This window comes from Homo sapiens, chromosome 5 (assembly GCF_000001405.40).
Source record: "Homo sapiens chromosome 5, GRCh38.p14 Primary Assembly".
Classification (NCBI taxonomy): Eukaryota; Metazoa; Chordata; class Mammalia; order Primates; family Hominidae; genus Homo; species Homo sapiens.
This window is the reverse complement of record NC_000005.10, coordinates 65206300-65228819: the sequence shown is the minus strand read 5'-3', so window position 1 is coordinate 65228819 and position 22520 is coordinate 65206300. Positions and strand designations below refer to the sequence as shown.

The 22520-nt window shown below is 35.4% G+C and overlaps 1 protein-coding gene and 1 pseudogene across 14 annotated transcripts in view; one reads left to right on the top strand and one right to left on the bottom strand.

Annotated features, from left to right (window-relative positions):
• Window positions 1-22520, top strand: part of ADAMTS6 (ADAM metallopeptidase with thrombospondin type 1 motif 6) — a 333183-nt gene that overhangs the window by 253101 nt on the left and 57562 nt on the right. For 10 of the 14 annotated variants that reach the window (NR_135689.2, XM_011543117.3, NM_197941.4 and 7 more), the window contains 5 exons: window positions 2601-2734; window positions 3773-3896; window positions 4420-4500; window positions 13333-13496; window positions 13888-14026. Coding sequence is in view for 12 of the 14 variants with exons in the window: in XM_011543117.3 (XP_011541419.1) it covers window positions 2601-2734; window positions 3773-3896; window positions 4420-4500; window positions 13333-13496; window positions 13888-14026 (642 nt within the window). In the remaining 2 variants the exon portion in view is untranslated. Of the gene's footprint in view, window positions 1-2600; window positions 2735-3772; window positions 3897-4419; window positions 4501-13332; window positions 13497-13871; window positions 14027-14693; window positions 14783-22520 lie in introns of those variants that run through there. The other 4 variants (XR_007058575.1, XM_047416676.1, XM_047416677.1 and 1 more) reach the window with 3 other exon arrangements.
• On the bottom strand, window positions 17884-18948 carry LOC100419140 (ribosomal protein L5 pseudogene; annotated as a pseudogene).

The window sequence follows — 22520 nt, the reverse complement described above, 5'->3', positions numbered from 1 at the left end:
ATGAGGCAAGAAAACAGTAGGACTCTTGGGCAGCGTCCCACACAGCTAGGGAAGCTTGGTGCTTACTCTCTATACTCTCACTTTCCCCTGTGGGAGAATCAAAGGCTGGGGAGGGTGGCAGGGAGTCTCTCTTTTCACTGAGCTGTGCTGCCTTGAGGGAGGTGTGATACAGGTGAAATTAAACTGGTCTTAAACCTCTTCGATTTGTCTGTTTGGGGAATTTTTTTTTTTCTCCAATGGCATGCTGGAACTTTTCTGCTGGAGTCCCATAAAGGTACACTTGTCTATAAGTAGCTGTCAAAATTGATCCTTCTGCAGGGAGATGATAGTAGAAAGCTCCTCTTCCACCATCTTGCTGATGTCACTCTAGTGGTACCTTTTCTGAAAGCTCATTGTATCAGAAGAAGCTGAACACATCTTCAGCAGTAAACAAGAAACTTATTCCCATTTTCATCACTTAGTATAGTGGGCTAAGGAATATAACCATAGTATTTATATGTCCTGCCTATCAAATATTACGTTACATAATTAATGTTAAAATTGAATAAACAGAAGACTCAGCTTCTCTTTTTAAAGCCTAATGCACAAAATGCTATATTAAATTCCAAAGCATTATGATAAAAAAATGAGAGAAGAACTGTATTGGGTAATAATGAAAAAATTTCCAGTAAGATTCATGGACATTTTGGGTAATTTAATTCATGAGAATCATATAAAAATAAATACAAGTAGTTTTATTATCAGTTTGGGAAGAAATTATTTTATTTATTACTTGTTATTTCTATGCTCAGTATGGCAAAATTAATCATTAACCTAACGCTAAAAATCACATTATAAGTTAGATAGAAGTTCTATAGCCTAGAAACATTGAAAATGGAAGAAAACATAGACTCAGGCCAGAGGTCGTAAGTTGGCAATTTAGGGACCAATTTTTATCTACATACATATTTTAGCCTCCCACAGTATTTTTTGTAACAAAACTTTGAATCAATTGTTACATTTAAAAACAAGAAGAGTTTAGATGGAAAAAAAAATTAAGTTTTCATCTTCTCTTGAAAAAACAGACTGACAATATTGGACTATCTTCTTGCATAACAACATTCAACTGTAGCAGTCATCTCCTATACTGGAATGTGCTGTCTCTAATTTATCATTGACTCTACCACCCAGTCGATTTTCTTTTTCTTTGCTTACCGTCAACCTGCAGAAACATGATTTCTAAGAACTTCACTGAGATGTAGCCATGTCATTTCATCTTTCTGCTTTATTTCCTTTATTAGAAGTAGTCTTCTTTATTTCAAATAGAAGTTTTAGCAGCATAATTAGATATGGTCAAAGTGATGAAGTAGAATTACAAAAGAAAATATTTTAAGTCATGATTTCAGTCAATAATTACATACTTACAAATAGTAGCTTTATCTTGTGCTGCTTTTAATACAACAAGTCCACATTTATTGCTATTTTTCCAATATACTGTAGTTATGATATGTACTCTGTTTTTTAAAATTGCAGTTACCTAAGCCTATTTTTAACTTCAGCCTTAAAAAACACAAATTTCAATGACAAAATGAAAATGCTCAAATTGCTGTGTGTATTTATTCACAAACAAAATTAGTGTTTTAATTATTCAAATATAATACTATATTTTATATTTATCCTTGGCTAATTTCATAAGAATTAATCAAATTTAAAGCTATAATTAATTTTAGTTTTGATTTGCTAATCTCATAAAAATTTATATCCATGCTAAAGCCAAGTTCACAGACTATGATATGCTTAAGGCAGGTACAAATTTAGTTTTATTTTATAACTACCATATCCTTGCTTGATGTGGCAGAGTTTTTGTATCAGCTTCAGTAACATATGTAGCAGAAACTTCTGTTTGTTAGACAAGGTTATTTTATTTTCTTAGGTTTTTTTAAAAAATTGTTTTTCTTGGCCAGGCACGGTGGCTCACGCCTGTAATCCCAGCACTTTGGGAGGCCAAAGCAGGTGGATCACCTGAGGTCAGGAGTTCAAGGCCAGCCTGACTAACATGGTGAAACCCTGTCTCTACTAAAAATACAAAAATTAGATGGGCATAGTGGCAGGTGCCTGTAATCCCAGCTACTCAGGAGGCTGAGGCAGGAGAATCTCTACTCAGGAGGCAGAGGTTGCAGTGAGCTGACATGGCACCATTGCACTCCAGGCTGGGTGACAGAGCAAGACTCCATCTCAAAAAAAAAATTGTTTTTCTTTCATTTATTTTTTTAAAAAACATTCAATTACCTTCACTATGATCCCTTTTTACCAAAATTGTAAATATATAATGGAATATAGAAATATAAAATACATTATAAATATATAATTATGTTATAAATAAATAATGGAAATACCTGAAATTTTTAAACCTGAAAACTGCTGAGCAAGTCCCCCTTTAAGTTGCACCACCAATTAAAATAAAGGTGAAATTTTAGAAAAGGGGGAAAGAAACCTACACAATCAGGCATATAAGCAGGGAATGATGTCTACGTGAATTATAAATTTGCCATAGATAATACTGAATCACTGTTCATTAGGACAACCACTCCACTTATTTCTCTTCTACTGTATTTGTCCAGGTGGGGTAAAACCTTGTGCATTAAACTGCTTGGCTGAAGGTTATAATTTCTACACTGAACGTGCTCCTGCGGTGATCGATGGGACCCAGTGCAATGCGGATTCACTGGATATCTGCATCAATGGAGAATGCAAGGTTGCTCAGATTTTACTCCTTTCTGTTGGGGTTTTTGAGACTTTTATCTTTTTCTCATTAACTCCTATTTAATACTATGTTTAATTTTTTAAAAAAAGGGGACCACATTTTAGAGAAATTCAATTTCCATTAAGAGTAATAAAATATGTAAAGGTAAAATGACCCATTCATATTCAAGCACCATACAAATGTACTTTATTCTGGTATTCTAGTTATTTTTACAGTGATTGCCAGAAGTATGAAAATATTTTGGATTTTAATTTCCGTTATTCTTCTGTTCTGTTTACAAACAAGATGATAGAAAAAGAGAGAGAATGAGGATTCAGCTCTTATTCATATTTCTACCATATGTTCTTTTTGGAAGATTATTTGATACATTTCATAGCATAAATTTTCCTCAAAGTGTGAAACAGCCATGCTCCTCCTACTTTATCTCCTTTTGAAGCATTTACAATGGTTTTCATTGTGGAATTAGTCTTTATCTTATTAAAGCATTTACTTTAGGGAATTAGTCAGACTAGTTGGGAATTGTAGGAGCAAATCCATGCTATTTTCCTAGACCTGTGTATGATTGTAACATAATAAGAAAAGCCACAAAAACCACTATTTTCATAAATTTTTTTACTTGTCTGGTTTTGTTTTACTTTAAAGAGAAGGACAAATTAAGTGCTTCAAACTGAGAAAGACAAGATAAAAAGCACCATTTTACTTAGTCTCATAATTTCTTGGAAAAGTTTCTATCCTTCTGGCTACTTGTCTGCAAATATATCTGATGATTCAGTTTGTGTATGATATTTGTGTGTGTTTATGTATCTGTGGGCAAGGGGTAGTTTATTTTCTTGAAGAAAAAGTTATTTTTGTAGTAGTATTCAAGTTTTTCAAATAACAAAGACCCAAGTATGGTTTTTATTCACGGATTACCTTATTTTTCTTTTCTTTACTGGAAAAACAAGCAAATAAATAAGTTATATGTATTTCATTAGTTATGATTCCAAGAATTTCTCTCTTGACACACTGAATATTCCTCTCTGTTTTCAGCACGTAGGCTGTGATAATATTTTGGGATCTGATGCTAGGGAAGATAGATGTCGAGTCTGTGGAGGGGACGGAAGCACATGTGATGCCATTGAAGGGTTCTTCAATGATTCACTGCCCAGGGGAGGTGAGTATGTAGAGAGAACTCTTCCTCACACCTCTGGTGTACTTGGAGGAGCCAAAACCCTCGCTTCGCCTCCCCCTGTTTTTCAGATTTCTTTATTTAGGCAGACAATGTTTTCTTCCCCAAATTGCTTTCAGTCATTTTAGTGTTAAATGTGGCTTCAAGTAAAATATTTTAAGGAAATATTCTCTCTCTCTACTTAACTTCATTTAGCCATGTTTCTTAAAGGTGTACATTCTCACAGAGGATTGATATGAGGGGCATGTGCTGAGGAAGAAAAGGAACCATTATTCGTGTTGAGGCTTTTAAAATATCTTGAGATAATTTTAGAGAAAAAGACTGTTAAATACTGTTTCTCTAAAATGTATTCATGAACCCAAAGGGTAATTTGCCCATATTTCATAATTCATAAAATGCAAAGTCAAAGAGAGAATGGAATAATAAGGAAACTATTACTATTGAATGGTTACCAAATACTCATTTCCTGACCAAGGCTGCTTAATACTGGCTATCTTCTGTGTTCCAGGCTACATGGAAGTGGTGCAGATACCAAGAGGCTCTGTTCACATTGAAGTTAGAGAAGTTGCCATGTCAAAGAACTATATTGGTATGTTAGACTGGTATGCTAGTTTGCTGGATTTTAAAAGTAAATGAGGAAAAGTAGCACAGTATCATGAAGGAAAAGGCATGCTTCTTTGAGGTAGATCACTTTCATGCTAAAATGAAGTAAGCTCTAAGTTTTATAGAACACATATACAATGCTAAAGAGAAAAATTAGAGTTTATAGCTTACTCTTCACCGGGTTATTTTATATATTTAAAAAATCAGGCCAGGCGCTGTGGCTCACACCTGTAATCCCAGCACTTTGGGAGGCCGAGGCGGGTGGATCACAAGGTCAGGAGATCGAGACCATCTTGGCTAACACAGTGAAACCCCATCTCTAATAAAAATACAGAAAAATTAGCTGGGTGTGGTGGTGGGCGCCTGTAGTCCCAGCTACTCGGGAGGCTGAGGCAGGAAAATGACGTGAACCCAGGAGGCAGAGCTTGCAGTGAGTGGAGATCCTGCCACTGCACTCCAGCCTGGGGGACTGAGCGAGACTCCGTCTCAAAAAAAAAAAAAAAATCACTATCTCAAAGAGATATCTACACTCACATGATCATTGCAGCATTATTCACAATAGCTAAGATATAGAAACAACATAAACGTCTGTCAACAGATGAATGGATTAAAAAACTTATTTTATCTGTATGCAATAGAATATTATTCAGCCTTAAAAAAACAAGGAAACTATTCATTTGCAACAATATGGATGAACCTGGAGAACGTCATGCTAAGCTAAATAAGCCAGACACAGAAAGGCAAATACTGCATGATCTCATTTATACGTGGATTCTAAAAAAGTCAAACAGAGAGTGTAAGAGTATTTACCAGGGGGCAGGGAGGAGGTGGAATGGGAAGATGTTGGTCAAATAGTACAAACTTTCAGTTATAAGAGGAATAAGTTCTGCACATCTAATATACTTTAGTTAATAAAATGTATCGTATACTTGAAATTTGTTAAGAGAATAGATCTTATTGTCACCACATACAAAAAAGGCAACTGTAGGAAGTTATGGATATGTAAATTAGCTTGATTGTGGTATTCATTTCACAATGTTTATGTATGTTGAATCATCAGATTGTACACCTTAAACTTAATATTTTATTTGTGAGTTATACCTCAACAAAGCTGGAAAAAAAAGAAAGTATGAAAATATTTCCCAAAATGGATGTATTATTTTATATTTCTATCAGTAATATAGAAGAGTTCCAGCTGCTCTACATCCTTGTCAATACTTGGTATTGTCAGTCTTTTTAATTTTATCCATATGGATTTTTTTGTAGTGAAGTGTCTACACAAATATTTTACCCATTTAAAATTTTTTTTTCCTTTTTTTGAGTTATGAGTTCTTTATATATTCTGGATATAAGTCTTTGTCAGATATATTTTATGGATATTTTCTCCTAGTTTCTGCTTGCGTCTTCATTTTTTGAAGTGCCTTTTAATTTTGATGAAATTCAATTTATTAATTTTTTAATGGTTTGTGCTTTCATGTCCTATCTTAGAAATTTTACCTGCTCCAATATTGCAAAGATAGTTTTCAGTATGTAAGAAGTTATAGTCTTTATTTTTATGTTTAAATATATGGTCTACAAAATATAAAATATATTTATTAAATGTAAAATACAAATGCAAAATATAGTCATTAAAGACGTGTATTGTGCATACTACGACTGATACCTATGAGGGGGAGAGACAACCAGGCAAATCTATTTGGGGAAGAACAATTATTTATTTACTTGAATAACACCCTATCCTTTGATTTAACACTTAGAGTAATGACTTAAGACTTAAAACTATGATAAGAAATGTAAGATACATGAAATTCAAAAATAAAATTGAAAAACACATACAGTCAATTTTAAGTTAATTTTTATATAAGGTATAAAGTAAGGGTTGATGTTCCATTTTTTCATATGAATATTCAATTGCTCTAACACTACTTGTTGAAAAGACTATCACTTCTTCCATTGAATTACCCTGACACATTTGTGAGAGATCAATTAAGCATACATGGATGAGTCTATTTCTGTTCTCACCCATTGATCTAGGTTTCTGTCCTTAAACCAACACCACACTGTGTTGAGTAATCGAGCTTCCCAGCGGGTCTTGAAATCCAGAAGCATTAGTCCCTGAATGTGTTCTTTTTCAACATTATTTTTGCTTTTCTAGGTCCTTTATATTTCTATATACATATTAGCATGAACTTGTCAATTGAGACAAATCTTTTTATACAGAAAGAGAGTATATGGAATCTATAGGTTAATTTGTGGAGAATTGACATCTTAAAAATACTGAATTTTCTAATACATGAAAAGATTTACCTCTACATTTATTTAGGTCTTTTTAAAATTTTTTCACCAATGTTTCATTTTCAGTATATAGGTCTTGCACACATGTTCTGTTAAATCTAATCATGCTTTTTGGTGCTATTGTAAATATTATTGTATTTTAATTTAATTTCCAGTTTTTTGTTGTTAGGGAATAATATAGTTTATTTCTTTTTATATTGCCCTCATGTCCTGAGACCTGGTTCACTCACATATTACTTCTAACAGTTGTTTTGTAAATTCATTTGGATTTTCTCTATAGATTATCATGTCATCCTCGAACAAAGGCACTTTTACTTCTATCTTTCCAATCTTTATGCCCTTTATTTCTTTTTTCTTGCCTTATAACAGAGTTCATGACCTTTAGTACAATGCTGAATAAATGAGGAGACTAGGCAGCCTTTTGTTTTCAACCAATCATAAGGGCAAATCATTCCTTGTTGTTATTGTTTTTAACCATTAAATATAATGTTAGCTAGAAGATTTATGTAATGACCTTTGTCAGTTTGAGGATGTTCCCTTCTATTTCTAGTTTTTATTAGAGTTTTAGTCATGAATGGGTATTGAAGATGTCTGAATCTATTGACATGATTAGGTGGGGTTTGCCCTCCCTTTCCCTGTTAATATAGTAAATAAATTGATTGATTTTCAAATGTAAAATCCATGTAGTATTCTTGGGATATAAACCACTTTTTCATGATCTATTATTACTCTTATATATTGCTGGAATTGATTTGCTAATATTTTATTAAGAATATTTGGACCTATGTTCATGAGAGATATTTTTCTAGAGTCTTTCTTGTGATTTCTTTGCTGGTTTTTGTATCAGGTTAAGCCTGGCTTCATGAAATGGCTTTAGAAGTGTTCCTTTCTCCTCTGTTTTCTGGAAGTCTGGAGAGAATTGTTTCTTAATGCTTGATAGAATTCAACTGTGAAGCTATCTAGAATGGAGTTGTCTTTGTGGAAAGTTTTTAATGAAAAATTCAATTTTTATAACAAAGTTTTCAAATTTATTGGCATAAAATTATGCATAATATTTTCTTATTATCTTTTTAATATCTGTAGGATCTGTAACAATGGCTCTTCTTTTCATTTTCCGTACTGAAAATTTGTCTCTTTACCTTGATAATCCTAATGAGGGCTTTATTGTATTGATCTTTTTAAAGAACAAGCTTACAGTTTAAATGATTTTCTCTATTGTTTGTCTATTTTGCATTACATTGATTCCCACTCTTCTTTTTTTTTTGAGACGGAGTCTCGCTCTGTTGCCCAGGCTGGAGTGCAGTGGCGCAATCTCGGCTCACTGCAAGCACCGCCTCCCAGGTTCATGCCATTCTCCTGCCTCAGCCTCCCGAGTAGCTGGGACTACAGGCACCCACGTTGACGCCCGGCTAATTTTTTTGTAATTTTAGTAGAAACGGGGTTTCACCGTGTTAGCCAGGATTACCTCGATCTCCTGACCTCATGATGCACCCGCCCTTCGGCCTCCCAAAGTGCTGGGATTACAGGCGTGAGCCACTGCGCCCGGCTAATTCCCACTCTTCTGTTTGTTTCTTTTTTTCTATTCACTTTGTTTTAATTTGTTCTTATTTTTTCTAGCTTCTCAAGATACAAACTTAAATTACTGATTAAAAATCTTTTTTCTGCTATAAAACAAGCATTTTTTTTACCATAAATTTTGTCAGACATATGATACATTTTATTTTCCTTATGAAGTTTTAAATATTTCCTTATTTATCTTGTGACTCATGACTTAGAAGGTATTATTTAATTTCCAAATATTTTGGTGTTTCACAAATACTTTTCTGATACTGATTTCTAGTTTAATTGTATTTTGGACAGAAAACACACCTTATATGATTTTAGTTTTTTGTTAAGGTTTTTTTATAGTCTAGCACATGTGCACTTGAGAAGAATGCATATTCTGCTATTTTGGGGTTAGTATTCCATTAATGTTCATGAAATTAAAGGACACAACTATCCTTTGGTTGGATAGTTTTTTCACATTTTTTATATTCTTATTTGCTGCCTTCTTGTTGAAGAATTACTGAAAGAATTACGTCGATATCTCCCATTAGAATTGTGGATTTGTTTACTGTTCTTATTAATGGCAAAAGCTGCGATTACTTTTGCACCAACCCAATAGTTTGTAAGATTTTTGCTTCATTTATTTTGAAACTATGTTTTAGGTGTATAGACATTTATGATTGTTACATCTTCTTGATATATTGAGCATTTTATGATTTTCAAATGTTCCTCTGTATTCCTGATAATATTCTATGACCAGTCTGGCATGGTGGCACATGCCTGTAATTCCAACCACTCAGGAGGCAGAGGCAGGAGAATCATTGAGCTTAGGAGTTTGAGATCAGCCTGGGCAACATAGTGAGATACCCATCTCTTAAAAATATTCTTTGATGCAAAGTCTGTTTTATCTGATACTAATCTAGCTACCCCAGCTGTCTTCTGATCAGTGTTTGCATGGTAAATCTTTTTCTATCTATTCACTTTTCATATGTAGGTACGTCTGTCTTTAAAATCTGTTTCTTGTAGAACACATGTAGTTTAATCTTGATTTCTTATAATGTCTAACAATCATTGCATTTTTAAATTCTAATCTTTAGTTTGGTGGGGGGGTTGGGGGTCGGCAACTATCGCTGTTAAGGGTCAGACAGTAAATCTTACAGTCTGTGTTACAACTATTCACTTCTACCATTGTAGTGTGAAAGCAGACATAGGTAATAAATAAATGGGTGTGACTGTGTTCCAATAGAACTTTATCTACTAACACAGGAGGTGGGTCATAAGTTTGGTGACTTCTTGTTTAGATCATTTATATTTAATGTAATTATCAATATCGTTGGGTTTAAGCCTACCATCTTGCTGTTTTTCTGTTTGTCCTGTGTGTTTTTTTTCCGTTTAATCCTCCTTTCATGCCTTCTTTTAGAATAACCATGGGTTTTATTGTATTCCACTTAATCTCTAATAAATAGCTTATTAGCTATACTTCTTTGCTCTGTTTAATTAGTGGTTGCTTTATGATTTACAAAATGCGTTTTTAATTTATCATAATACATTGCCAAATAATATTGCACCATTTTATGTATAATGTAAGACCCTTACAACAGTTTACCTCCATTGTCCCATTCCATTCTTTGTGCTGTTTTTTTTAATACTTTCTACTTCTTTATATGTTATAAATCCCACAATATATGGTTATTATTTTTGTTTCAAAGAGCCAATTATCTTTTTAAAAAATTTTAAAACAAGCAAAATTATTTTGTATTTACCCACATATTTACCATTATCTGGCATACTTCCTTTCTTTGTATAGATCTCAGTTTCCATCTATTATAAATATGTGTGTATATACATGTAATGTCATCATGTTTCTTCTCATTATGTTTTCCTTTAAAGTTCTTGCATATATTTATAATAGCTACTTGAAAATTATTTTCTGCTAATTCCATAATTTTTGTTATTTCTGGGTCTGTTTCTTTGGCTTTGCCTTCCTCCTGTTTGAATCACATTCTCCTCCTTTTCCACATTGGTAGTAATTTCTCATTGGATGTTGTACACTGTGAATGTTTCTTTGTTGAGAGCCTGGATTTTGATTTATTTTTTTAAAGGGTGTCAAGTAACTTGTAGATCTGCTTGATCCTTTTGATGTTTGCTTTTGAGCTTTGTTTGGGTAAATCCAGAATATTCTTTATTCTAGAGCTTGCTCAGCCCTCCTGCAAAAGCATGATTCTTCTTGGGTCTCTACTGAATGGCCTGGTGATTGAAATGCAGTAGTTCTGCTTACAGCTCCACAGTAGATTTTTTGCCTGGCTTTATGTAATTTTATCCTATACATATGCAGATCAATATTCAGCAACAGATTTCCTCCTTCCTCTCTTGTTCTCTGGTCCTGCATATTCCAGCTATGTCAGCCTTCCCAGTTTCTGATCTCTCTTCTTCACTTGGTGAGACCACTGTGTTCTGCTTGGGTTCTCCACCTAAAGAAAGTGTCTCCAAGCAGAAAGTTGTGGAGATCATGGTCTCTGCACAGTTCTGGTCAATGCATGAGAAAAGCTGATTCATATATTTTATGAGTTTTCTGATTATTTACAATGGGAGGGCAATTCTAATACCAGTTATTTCAGCATGAAAGTGAGGAGAAGTTCTATTTATTTGATGTTTAATCCTTTGAGATAGTTTTAGTCTCTCCAGAAACCCTTAGTGAGACCTAAATGAGTTTTTATTTTAGTTAAAATATCATTCCATTTCTCTTAAAGCTTTTAAAAATAAGGGTACATCCAGAGTGTGTCTTCAGGCAGAATATCAGTATCATCAGGCTCTTCTTTTATTTAAGAAGACTCCTTTATTTTTACACCATAATTTTGAATTATTTTCTCCATCAATAATACTCAAAACAAAAAGATTTCTAGCCTCAGCTTTTTCCCCCTTTGGTAATTCTCTTTTCATAATGCACTTCATCTTCCTTTAGTCATTCTTCCTTAATGCCTCTTAAATGGTTGGTGTTTTTCTGAGCTACATTATGGCACCATTAGTTATATATTCCTAGCAGCCAAGAGGTGTTAGAATTCCTTCATTTAGTAGTTGTAAAAAAAAAAAAAGGAAGTGAGAGCTCAAACTGAAGGAGAATTTAAAGCCACATAGTTGTTTTTATCTTTATTTTTACTATTTCATATATGACAGTCTCAGATGTCCTTATAAAACCAAATGTTTTAAACTAGACAGAAAACCACTGCAAGTGAGAGTTGAAAATAAAAAATTTTAAGTACACAAAAAGTTCAAGGCCAGGTATTTCTTCTATTTGCTTGTTCCTATCTCAAAAGGTTAATTAGATTTATTTTGAAGATTAAATGAATCTTCAAAACATGTCTGAAGTTAAGAAACTACAAATATTTTTGCCAGGCAAATGGGGGTCGGGAGATGACAATGGTCTGTAGTATGAAGGACAAGAGCTGGAGGTCTAGGGAGTCAGAGACTCTGCACCATGACCCTTTAGTCCTTTTGGGCTACTTGTTTATCAGGTCTGACGAATCAAAGTTTTTGCAGTCAGCTAGCATACTAACAAAATATTAAGCTGACATGTTTATTTGTTTCCTGTTTGTTTATAGGAGTTTTTGTACGGTAGTACTAAAAATACTTTTTCAGCTACATGTGCTTTTAAACTGTGTGTGTGTGTGTGTGTGTGTGTGTGTATTTCTTGTAAGAGATTTTTTTAAAGTATGCATGTTTATCTATCAATATTTTTTCTGAGTTTTTTGTCATGCTTAGAAATTTTTCACAACACAATATTATGAGAAAAAAAGTTCTTTTATATTTTCTCCTGACATTTTAAGATTTAACTATTTTTATATTTAAATATTTACCCATCTGGCATTTATCCTTTCTCTTTTTTTAACTTTGTTTTTATTGAGGTGAAATTAACATTACATAAAATTAACCATTTGAAGTGAACAATTAAGTGGCGTTTGAAACATTCCAAACATTTACATCACCCCAGAAAAAAACCCATATCCATTAAGCAGGTGAATCCCCATTCTCCCCATTCCCCATCCCCTGGCAACTACCCATCTGCTTTCTGTCTCTGTGGCTTTTTACCTACTCTGGACATTTTATATAGATGGAAGCATACTATATGTGATCTTTCCTGTCTGGTCTCTTCCATTTAATGTTTTTGAGTTTCATCACATTATAGCTTGTTATCAATACTTCATTACTTGTTATGGCTGCATAACATTCTGTTACATTATAATACCACAATTTGTTTATTTATTCATCCACTGATGAACATTTGTGTTGTTTTGATTTGGTGCTACTGGAAATAGTGCTACTATGAATATGTGTGTCCAAGTATTTGTTTGAGTACCTGTTTTCAATTCTTTTGGATATGTGCCTAGGAGTTGAATTGTGGCATTTATTCTTATATAAAGAAAGAAATATAAATTCAGCATTTTTTTGCCAAAAGAATAGTCTTTTGCCTTAGCCCCATTTCTTGTTCTTTCCTTTACTAATTTAAGATACTTCCTTTATCATAAACAGAATTCCCATATGAACTTGGGTCTATTTCTTAAATCTCTTTGATTCGTGTTCTGTCGATCAGTCTGTGTCCAAGTGCAACAGGTTGTCCCCACCCCATATCCATTTAATTACTATTTCAGTATTTGGAAAGGAAAGCCTGCTCCCCACCCTCATGTTAAGTCTCATCCCTAGTTATTCCTTTTCTCATAATTTTCCTTGTTACTTCCACATGTTTATTCCTCCAGGTTAACCTTTCGTTGCTTTCTATTAGTGACATTATAAATACTTAAGTAATATCTTCTTACCATTCACATGAAAAATACCATTTTAATTTGTACTTAAGAATATGGTCAAGAGTCACATCTCTAAATGGAAATCGGTATTCATTGTATACTTTATTGCAGTAATTAATCAGTGACACTTTGGTAAATGAAATTTCACATTTTTAGGTGAATTGTGATTTGTTTTCTAGCTTTAAAATCTGAAGGAGATGATTACTATATTAATGGTGCCTGGACTATTGACTGGCCTAGGAAATTTGATGTTGCTGGGACAGCTTTTCATTACAAGAGACCAACTGATGAACCAGAATCCTTGGAAGCTCTAGGTCCTACCTCAGAAAATCTCATCGTCATGGTAAATGCGTCTTTGCCATTGTATTTCTTCTGTTTTTAATTCCCCCTTGTGAGGTAGGAAGGGGCAGGTTTTATTATCTCTGCTTTACAGGTGATGAAATTAAGGTAAATAAAGATAAAATGATTTACCCAAGGGTGTTAGAGCTGTGCAGAGTTAAGGCCATAGTGCTCTTGCTTGAATAGTATTTTTATAACCAAACAAGACAGATGAAAGCAATGGCTCCAAAATACCCATGAAAATGGGAGGAGAAAATTTGATATAAATGCATGTGTTTTATATTAAGTTTCCTGTAAGACTTGTTTTGACATTTTCTTCTTCAAAAGGAATAATAAATATCTGAATGAAGGCTCATTGTATTTTAATTGTCTTCACCAGTTGTTTTCAATGGCAGGTTCTGCTTCAAGAACAGAATTTGGGAATTAGGTATAAGTTCAATGTTCCCATCACTCGAACTGGCAGTGGAGATAATGAAGTTGGCTTTACATGGAATCATCAGCCTTGGTCAGAATGCTCAGCTACTTGTGCTGGAGGTAAGATGCCCACTAGGCAGCCCACCCAGAGGGCAAGATGGAGAACAAAACACATTCTGAGCTATGCTTTGTGTTTGTTAAAAAAGCTAATTGGAAACATTTCTTGCAGGTTTGCTTCAAGCTGTAATTTAGCAAAAGAAACTTTGCTTTAATTATATTATATTCCATTTGTTTTCAACCTCATGTAATTTGTGCAGATTTGTTGGTAAAATACATCTTGGCACAATGAGTGTCTCTGCTGGTGCTTCTCCCAAGACTATCTTGAAGGTGGGCTGTTTGCCTTTCGTGAACACATTCTTGGTAAAGAACATCAAAAGTTTTAAAAAAGAAAATGAGCAAGAATCAGACATCACAGATGCAACTTCTTGTAATGGGAGATGAGAATGTACGGCTGTGTGCTTGTTGTGTGTGTTTGTGTGCCTGTGTGTTTGCCACAATCCTATTCAAACTCCCTTCTCCTGCCATCAAAGTTAAGGGGCTGTATACTGGGATGCTACAATAATTACTGGTATCTGGGTTCTGGGTTAATGGTGTATACTGACCCCATTACAGTCCCTCAGAGGTAGCTGCTAGGCGGTGGTTGGTGATGTGTTGGTTGTCCCATGTGCGTTTTTCATGGGTGCCTTTTCCCTACAATTTACTCTATTCCTAATCCTCCTCCCTCTAGTGGCCACCAATGCAATTCTTTACCTCTGGCTGGGAGAGCAGGACAGTTGGCTTCCTTCAAAGCCAACACCCTTGCTGCTGCATGGACTGGTGAGTAGAAGTGCTGTGCAAGCAGCATCTTCCTTCTCTCTGGAGACTAAATGCATCGCCTCCACCGTACACCTTGATCCTAACAGGCAAGGAAACAAACCTGTCCTTCAGGCCTAGGCTGGACTAGATCACCTCACCATTCCAGAAGCAAAGATTAAATTTTAAATAGTGATATTTATTTTGGGAAAAATTAAAATAAAGTAAATCATCCAATACATTACCTATACTCCTTTTTTAAACTATGCAGAAATATATGATTTTTATATAGACTTCATCCTGTCTTGTATTTGCATCTTCTGATTTTCAAGTCTTAAATCAGAGAGGTTATTTTTAGAGAAATAATTAACATATAATCTATTCAGTATTTTTATTTTATTTTATTACTTATTACTTTTTTTTTTTTGAGACAGGTTTTTGCTCTGTTGCCCAAGCTGGAGTGCAGTGACACGATCATGGCTCACTGCAGCCTCAACCTCCTGGGCTCAAGTGATCCTCCCACCTCAACCTTCTGAGTAGCTAGGGAGCACGCCACCACACCTGGCTAATTTTAAAAATTTTTGTAAAGACAGGATCTCACTGTGTTGCCTAGGCTTGTCTGGAACTCCTGGCCTCAAGCATTCCTCCTGCCTCAGTCTCCCAAAATGCTGGGATTATGGGCATGGGCCATCACGCCCAGCCTAATTCAGTATTTTTAGTCTCATACAGAATTAAAGCAATGATTAACTACAACTCCAATTTCAATATAAAGTCTATACAACATGAAAAAAACAAAAAAGATGAATAATAATATATTAATGTACTCTACTGTGTAAAGTATCATGAAACATGGTTATGTATAATTCGTGACATATTTTAAAAGATCTCTAGTTCCCATCCATTTTATGTGTAAAATGGCTGGTGATTTGTAATGTAAAGTTTTTAAAGCCATAGGACATTACCATTTTTAAATAAAGAAATATTTGCAACTAATTGATCAAGTATATGCCATTGCATTATTTTTAGTGGCATTTATACATATATCTATCTTTTATCCAATTCAATTCTTTTTATTCTATAAATTAACTTTTCCCTTTGCATATTCCAACAAAAAGTCTTCTAGAACAATACATACATAATTCAGGCCCTGAGGCAAGGTGGGATAAACTTATTAAAGAATAATTTAAATAATTTGAAGTTTAGGAAATCTAATAAGGATAGTCTAAAGTTAAAGTGGATTAGCTTGGAGAAAAGAAAGCTAAGGGGATGCATATTAGCATACGACAGAAGGTTGAATGGGAAATTCTTAGAGCCGCTTCATCTTTGTACTGAAATTGCTATATTTGGGGATGGTTTAGATACAGTCTTGTCTGAGACCAAGAAAGGATTAAATGAATTCTTAATGTTCCTTCAATCCTATGATTCTATTTGTTCAGAAAGGAGATAATCCAACAAAAAAGCAAAGAAGAAGAAGAGGAAAAAGGCCATGAGAACTGAATTTGGAAGAAAAAAATATAATTTTGTTGAAGTCAGAAAGTAAAAAGTCTAAATGAGTGTTATTTTTTTCCATAACACTTGCATTGAGAAATAGAAGTGATTTCTTGTGGTAGGGGGTAAAAAAAAAAAAAAAAAAAAAAAGAGAGAGAAAAGCCTCTGGAAGGGAGAGCTTTCTCTTCCTTGTTATTTATTCTTCTTTCTGTGATCTGGAGCTACTGGTCTTAGATACTGGAGGTGGTTCTGGGAACTCACATTAGGGTTGGTTGTGGGTGATTATGAGCATTCTTGAGGCTATTGCCTTCTTCAAATGAGGGATATAGAGGGCATGGTGTAAAGAGCTGCCATTTGTTTCGGTAAGTGGTTCTTAAAGTCTGGTCCCGCCAGCAGCATCAACATCATTTAGAAACTTGTTAGAAATGCTAATTTGAGCACCCCATTACAGACCTACTGAACAGAAACTCTTCGAGTGGGGCGCATTAATCTGCGTTTCAACAAGCCCTGCAGGTGATTTTGTTGCTCGCTCAAGTTTGTGTACCACTGGTCTTGGCTGACAGAGAAACCAAACCCAGCACTCTAGACACGTGGAATCCGTGTCTTCATCACTGAAGTCTGTGCATCTTTGTAAACTCATTTTGCCCCTAGAACAATATCCGAAACATAGTAGGGGCCCAATAAGTGCACCTTATTGAGCACCTTAATGAGGCCAATGGTGGCCTCCCAAAATGCTAGATGAGTGAATGAGTAAAAGGAATTAATTTTGGCAATTATATATTTGTGCTTGTCCTTTCTAATGTGGGAGATGAAAGTTTAGAGTTGCTACTTTTCTTATAGAGTGGGGCAAAGCTTTGCCAAGGAAAAACAGTATCATTTTAATTAGCATAGGTAGGTAAAACCAAGCTCCTCTCTTTTTTACTTTGTTTTTTTTGTTTATTTTTTGTTTTGTTTTGGGTTTTTTTGTGTTTTGAGACAGAGTCTCACCCTGTCACCCAGGCTGGAGCACAGTGGTGTGATCTCGGCTCACTGCAACCTCTGCCTCCCGGGTTTAAGTGACTATTCCACCTCAGCCTCCCAAGTAGCTCAGACTACAGGCGCCCACCAACACGCCTGGCTAATTTTTGTATTTTTAGTAGAGACGGAGTTTCACCATGTTGGCCAGGCTGGTCTTGAACTCCTGACCTCAAGTGACCCACCTGCGTCAGCCTCCCAGAGTGCTAGGATTACAGGCGTGAGCCACTGCACCCAGCCATCTTGCTTACTTTGAATAGGTGGAAAATATTTCCTAGGATATAGAGTGCAGGAATCAATTGTTGAAGTTGCTCTTCTTACACTTTTAACCCCAGGTTCTTAAGAAGCTTACTTTTAACCCTCACTTTTAACCCCAGGTTCTTAAGAAGCTTATGATTGAGGGAAGTAAAGTCCCTTTAGAGTTTAGGAACTTTGACCCAAGAAAAAGCCAGAGTCATCTTCTCCTTAATGAAACTTCATTTTATCGTTAAGAAACCCTTCAAGAAGTCATTTCTACTTACCTTTCACTCAGAAACTAAGGATGAATTCTAAAGTCAGTTCTTTTTTTGTTGGTTTTTTGTTTTTGTTTTTGTTTTTGCTGTCATTAAGTCTATTGTCTTTATAAGGGACATTTTGGGATGGTTCCACCTCATCATTTTAACTTCTTTCTTGGGCTTCTCATAGACTGGATTCTCTCCTGTGGCAGCAAGAGCTTTCTTATACATCTTCCCCATCATGTCTGGAGTTACACTGTTCTTTATGTGTTGAGAGAACTGTTTCTTGTAAGCATCTTCATCTTCCTCCATTAAGTAGCACATGTAATCTGAAACATTCTGGCCCATGATGTGCTTCTGGTGTACTTCCACATTAAATTATTTGCTTTCAGAATCATAACCAGGGAATTGTTTGGTACTGTGAGGGATAGACAAGCCTCCATCCATAGCTTCCTTTGGGGTGCCAAAAACTTTATTGCCAGTGGTAGTTCTGGCAAGGCCTGCATCCAGATAGCAGATAAAGACACCTGGTTGAACATCAATGCTTTCCACATTATATTCATCTCCAATCAACTCCGCTTGGCCTTCATAGATCTTTTTTTTTTTTTTTTTTTTGAGACGGAGTTTCGCTCTGTCGCCCAGGCTGGAGTGCAGTGGCGCGATCTCGACTCACTGCAAGCTCCGCCTCCCGGGTTCACGCCATTCTCCTGCCTCAGCCTCCCGTGTAGCTGGGACTACAGGCGCGCGCCACCATGCCCGGCTAATTTTTGTATTTTTAGTAGAGACGGGGTTTCACCGTGTTAGCCAGGATGGTCTCGATCTCCTGACCTCGTGATCCGCCCGTCTCGGCCTTCCAAAGTGCTGGGATTACAGGCGTGAGCCACCGCGCCCGGCCGGCCTTCATAGATCTTATCCATGCCAAACCTATTGAAAAGCCTGTGGGCCAGCAGCAGGCCAATATAGTACGCTGCAGCATCATTTGTCAGGCCAATCTTCACACCATATTTTGGCAGTTCATGTGCGTATGCTGTGCAAACTATCATATCCCCTTACATATGGGCATAAGCAATCTGACAAATGGTATCTCTGTTTGTTATGTGAGCTATCAACCTGTATTTGGGTGTGTGTTTTTTATTTATTTATTGTCTGCCACTTGACAGAGACCTGCAGGCCCAGCAGTGCTAGGTGGGAAAAAGGGATAAAGTCAGTTCTTAACTGAGATACTCCATGTTCATCTCTCCAAGGAGGTGCTGGGTGTCTTGAGGCTGTCAAAATTCTTTTAAGTGGCAAAGAGAAAACAAGAAAGATCTCAAAGAACTTTCGGTGGCAGTCTCACAAGATCCTTCAGTGTTCTCACTTGTTATTTTCCTGCATATGTTTTATTAATATCCAGACCTTTGGGCTTTAATTGAGTTTGGGAGCAATAATGATAGCTTTCTCTTATGAGATCTTTTAAGATAAGAAGCTTGAGACTTTTTCTGTTGCTTAGCAGATCCAGTGACAAATCTAATGCTACAGGAAACATTGGTGATTCAGTCCAAGTAATGGTCTTTTCTCTGAGTCAGTAATGAAACACTTCCTTTGCCTCATAAGGAACATTGAGATGCTATGGGGTGTTGTCTTCAGTATATGTGTGATTTTTGAGATACTGCTGTAACTCTTCCTCAGAGAGAAATCCAAGCCCAAAAACATGGCTATTTCCAGAACCATTGCTACTAGAATTTGTTTCTGTATTCCTTACCCAAACATATTTATACTTTATAATTTACTGACTCCCGAATTTATATGCTACCATTGGATTAGTGATTATAATCAGTTGCTAATTAATGAATCTTGTCTGGGTAGGGAAAGTTGTATTGTTTTAAAATACAAAGCTGTAGGAGATTTTTAAAAGTGGTAATTTATGCCAGTATACCTATGCACTGTGACTTCTAAAGTTTCAAATAACAAATACTGTATATTCATCCTTTGATTTTATTCATACATATTCTCTTTTTACGATGTTTGGCTAGATATGTGGTTCTCAAATTTAAGCACACATCAGAGTTACCTGAAGGGCTTGTTAAGACACAGATTGCAATGTTCTACCAACAATTTCTGATTCAGTAGTCTAGGGGAGGCTTTAAGAATTTACATTTCTAAGTTTCCAGGTGTTGCTGGTGCCACTGGCTCAGGAACTGTACTTCGGGGCTCTGGGGTAGACACTTAGATTTCCTAAAGTAAATGCCCACTAAACAGAGTGACAAGTCTTTTAGGTAATAATCTATATTATAGTTGTAACCATAGTATCACTAATCTTTTTGGTGACAGGTGGTTCTACTGCTCAGCTATGCAATAATAAAATTGTAAAGTTTAAAACATTTTCTGGTACTATATTTCATTTGATCATCTTCAGTAGCTCCATAAGATAGGCAATGAAATTACTAGTCATAATTTATAGGTAGAATTCAAGTAATTTGCTGAAATCAAGACCTAGCAACTTAGTCTCTAGTGACCTTTTTAATTTAGTAATGAGGTGTTCTTTTGTAATAAAAAGAGCTTTTTCACCAGTTGGCTGCCTCAGTAGGGAAACATGATATATCCCCACCCATAAAGATCTCCTTCACTAGCTTGAAATTTCATTTTTTCAAATGCCTTCCATAGAGCAATGGTTCTTAACTTTGGCTGCACAATAGAATACCCAAGGAGAACTTTAAACAATGATGATACTTTGTCCCCACCCCCAGAGAGTCTTCTTTAATTGGCTGGGGGTGTGGCCTGGACATCAGGCTTTGAAAAGTTCCATAGGTAATTCTAACATACAGCCCCGGTTGAGAAGTACTGCTTTTGAAACTGATTAAAAGTTTTAGTCTTCAAAAAATTAACATTCAGATGCAAGTACCTCTGGGAGCATTACTAACACAGATCTCTGTTTTTAAGTGGCTACTAGTTGAATTCTAAGGTTATGAGACTTAGGAATGAGTATCTGGGATGGGAAAGTAGAGAGGAGCATCAGAGAAGGGAATGAAAGAAGGAATAGCATGCCACTTAATTTCATAATTTTGTTTAATATGGCCATTGGCCTTGGGCATGCCTATATATTTACAGTTTTCCTTCACTTGGTGGATCATTTATAAACATCCAATTAATGTAATAAATGCTTTTAAAACTGACTGAAATTGTGCTAAACAGATTTCCCAAAGCTCTTTATTCTGATTTCAAGTTTATCTGATACAGAGCTAAAATGAGTAGATGGTCGGGTATTCAACCAACTTTAATTTAGATGCACAAGTCAGAACAGAAGAGGCATATGGCCCCTGTTTGAACTCAGTTATTATGAACACTGATACAATTTGTTTTCTTTTAAATTACAGTTCTAATCAGAGAAGACCTTCATTTTTTAGGAAGTTACTTTCTTTAAGAGAATGAATCTTTGCAGAATGCAGCAATATTCATGATAATTTTCTACCCTACTTTTCTGGGTGTGTTCTCATTTCCCTCTGTTCATACCATTCTCATTTCACTCCCATCCCCTCCTCTTATTTAATATTATACAATGCTTAGGCTTTAAAGTGAAACCTTCCAAAGCCCATTAACTGATAATTGATGCTATAGTGTTGTATTTAACTTTGTACCTGTTCTGTTAGAAAATAAACCTTAAGAATAGTTTATTTGCAGTACAAAGAAATGTCAGAAATACATACGATATTTTATATTTATTATAATTTTATATTTATGCTCTAAATATACAGTCTGTCCTGCCATTGGCTCTATTGACACTCCTGATAACTTTCTCCAATTTTTTTTCCTAGATTTTTCTTTCTTCTTCTTTGAATAGAAGTGCAAAATTGTGTACCAAAGTTTCTGCTAATACACAAAAGCATCTCTCTGCCAAACATTGCTTTGCAGTTCTTTGGGGGAAGAGATAAAGCTATGCTTAGATTACTGAGGAGTTAGGAAGGAGACAGTTTACTGTTAGAGATATTTTTTGTTTTGTTTGAAGATCAAAGAGCACAGATTTTATTTTACATATACTAAATGATTATACAGGAATGTTTCTGATCAATCATCATTGACTATTTAAAATGCTATCATTACTTTTACATTTACATTTACATAGTCTAATTTTATTTGTATGTTTGATGCTTCTTTTATTATACTTTTTCTTCCCTGAATGTCATTTTAAGCCTAATGTATGAGTCTGTGTGTGTGTGTATTTGTGTGTGTGTGTGTGTGTGTGTGTGTGTGAGAGAGAGAGAGAGAGAGAAAAAAAACAGCATATAAACATAGAAGATATTTATGTCTTTCTTTTTTTTGAGCTAGGACAAATTCTTTTTATTTTACTTTTTGAGTCTTTACCTGATTCTTTTTTTTTTTTTTTTTTTTTGAGATGGAGTCTGGCTCTGTTGCCCAGGCTGGAGTGCAGTGGCACGATCATGGCTCACTGCAACTTCCACCTTCCTGGTTCAAGCAATTCCCCTGCCTCAGACTCCCGAGTAGCTGGAATTACAGGCGCATGCCACCATGCCCGGCTGATTTTTTTGTATTTTTAGTAGAGACGGGGTTTCACATGTTGGCCAGACTGGTCTCGAACTCCTGACCCAGGCAATCCACCTGCCTCAGCCTCCCAAAATCATCTGGATTCTTATACATGTTGTGGCTGGTTTCTACTCTTTGAGATTTTTAAGACCATTTATATGATTTCCAACTACTATTTTGAATTTTCCTGATGTGGGACCACGTTTTTCAAACTGTACAAAGGTGCCCAAGGGCACTGCAGAACATTG